Source organism: Homo sapiens, chromosome 13, assembly GCF_000001405.40.
Source record: "Homo sapiens chromosome 13, GRCh38.p14 Primary Assembly".
In the NCBI taxonomy this organism is placed as follows: domain Eukaryota; kingdom Metazoa; phylum Chordata; class Mammalia; order Primates; family Hominidae; genus Homo; species Homo sapiens.
Genome location: NC_000013.11, coordinates 65,639,264 through 65,641,852, shown reverse-complemented (window position 1 = coordinate 65,641,852; position 2,589 = coordinate 65,639,264).

Below are 2,589 nucleotides of genomic sequence, written 5' to 3'. Positions count from 1 at the left end.
TCTTGGTTTTCTGAGGTTCATTTATTTATTTATCAAGTATACTTTAGTAAAAGTTGTTTGACCTTGACTTTTATCTTTCTATATTTTATGTTTATTCAGTTAAAATAGTAGATTTTATTAATGGATATTTCAATATTTAGCCATTCTTGACTTCTTAGGAAACACAGTGTGAATTTGATGTTGGTGAATTTTAAGAAGGTTAAAAATTAACACTTCTGGTGCTTCATCTAAATAATTGGGCAAAAAATTTCTGTTTCTCGATTATGAATGCAGATCCAAGAAAACCAAATCCTCATTATTTTACTGAGAAACACTGCTTAGGACATAGTGGCTTATTTTTCATAGCCATGTGGATTTGCTAATTTTCCCAGAAAAAAATTAATCAAACTTCCTTTTGGGGACATATACACTGCTGGAAAATCTCAAGTAGTCCCATTAAGACTTTGTTGTGGAGATTTTTAAAATATGGAGGAGCTACTATCTTTGAATTTATCATGTTCTTTTACTAGACTTCTGATGTGCTTTTCTACTTCTAATATTGTCAGGCTTATTTATATATTTATATATTTTAAAACAAGCTGGAGTCTAATTCTAATTTAAGTTTGGTTTATCTAACAGGTTTTGATACACAGTACTTCACTAAAATTTATATCTAAATGTTTTAAAATAATTGTTGTGATTATTCTATACTCTTATTTTTGGCCATTTTATTTCAATTTTAATTAAATGATGATTTTTAGATTATATTTATCTTTCTATTTTGAGTTTATTTGCATGTAGGTCAGGTTACTGTGTCCTGGTGGTTAGCTATTTTTAAATATATATTCTACTTATTATTGAGAATAACATTTATTATTTATTTGTTGTATAGAGAAGTCACCCATTCACCAAATATATATTTATACATTACCTACTGTATGCCAGATTCTTTTCTAAGAACTAAGAATACAGAAGTCAATCAAACAGATGAAAATCCCTACTTAAATTAATTTTAGGGTAATACATAAGATTAAAGGAGCAAAATATAGTGTCTTAAATTATTATAAAGGAGAATATAAAATACAGCAAGATAGGGAAAAGTATAAAGAACTGTGAAGGGCCTGACTTTTATCCTCCTTTGCAAGCTAACATACTAGTTTTCCACAATATCATGGATTGAAGAGGTGAGACTACCAAGTAAGAGATAAATGACATTATTACTAATGGCATAAAAAGGAGCAAGAACATCAGCATATTTGCCTCAGTTATGCTTGATGCCAAGTCCCAGAGGGATAATGCTAATCATTGTAGCAAGATACCTGTGTATGCCTTTTGTTACATTACAGAAGAGAAACCCTGAGCATGAAAAATGAGTATTTCATAAGAGACAGTAAGAAACCTGTCATTTGTTCTGAATAAAATACAATGTCTATTTTCCAACACTGTCCAGTACACAAACACACTAGAGAAGACAGTCCAAAACAAGAGATCATCAGGGCCTTTGTTCACTAGACATACAGAATTGCAAAAGACTGAAGAGTCTCCTACAAATATTCGCTCCTCGTCCCTACATGATTTTGGCTTTAGTTGAATTGTCATGTGTAAAATGCTCTAGGACATTTTAATTTATCTGACCAACAGAGGCTGGGACAAATTTTGTTCCAATTGTCTCATACAGAATTTAATTATGGCTATCATCTGTAGGACTCCAAGCAGCAGGATAACTTCCCAAAGGGAAATTCATCAAGGAACTAACTTTAGCCTAATTATGGGGAAATTATCCTACTCATCATCCTGCTGATTTACTTGTTGTGCTTCCTCAAATATTTGCAAGTTTTTTGTGGCCACCTTTAATTAAGGTACATGTCACCATGGTTTTAGGAAGGAAGTGAATTAATCCTCGGAATTAATCCTCAAGGTTAATTCTAGGTAAGAAGCAAAGTCACAGAAGCACATGGTGTCCATAAAAAGAAAATATTGTTTACAATTGTTAGGGCCTTCCAAGTTGTACCTACAACTGCCAAGAGGAACATGGTGACAATGCCTACAATATGACCTTCCAGATGGATGGCAGATCTTGGGTCTCTCAACTCAGTTAAATAATTGAGAGTAGTTCTTGTTTTTAGAAAAAATGCCTAAGGGTAGTTATCCCAATCTGCAGAATTTGCCCATATCGACAGCCCAATGCCATTTATTCATCACATGAAATGGTTGAGAAAAGGCTATGAGAGTAACAGTGGAAAGGGCATCCAGAGGTATTGTCAGGCATTTGACGTGGAAGGTACAGGAGCCGGGGCCATCCTTTTCTGTTTCTGAAAGAATACTTCCTAAGGTTAAAGAAAAATGGAGGTGACAATATTTTAATACTCCCACATAAAACTTTTGTTTAGGTGTGAGAGAAACAAAGGCATTCTTATAAAACTTATAAAGACTAATTATGTTCCCCCTTTGGCCTGGAGTAGGGATACTTAGTGACCAGAATATTCAACAAGTGGTCATTATCCTTATGATCCTAGATCATCCCCATTCAAAAAAGCAATCCATGTGATTAAATTTGAATTAAGTTTGAAAACTCAGGCCAGCATGAAATTTATGTTAGAAGAGGGTGAG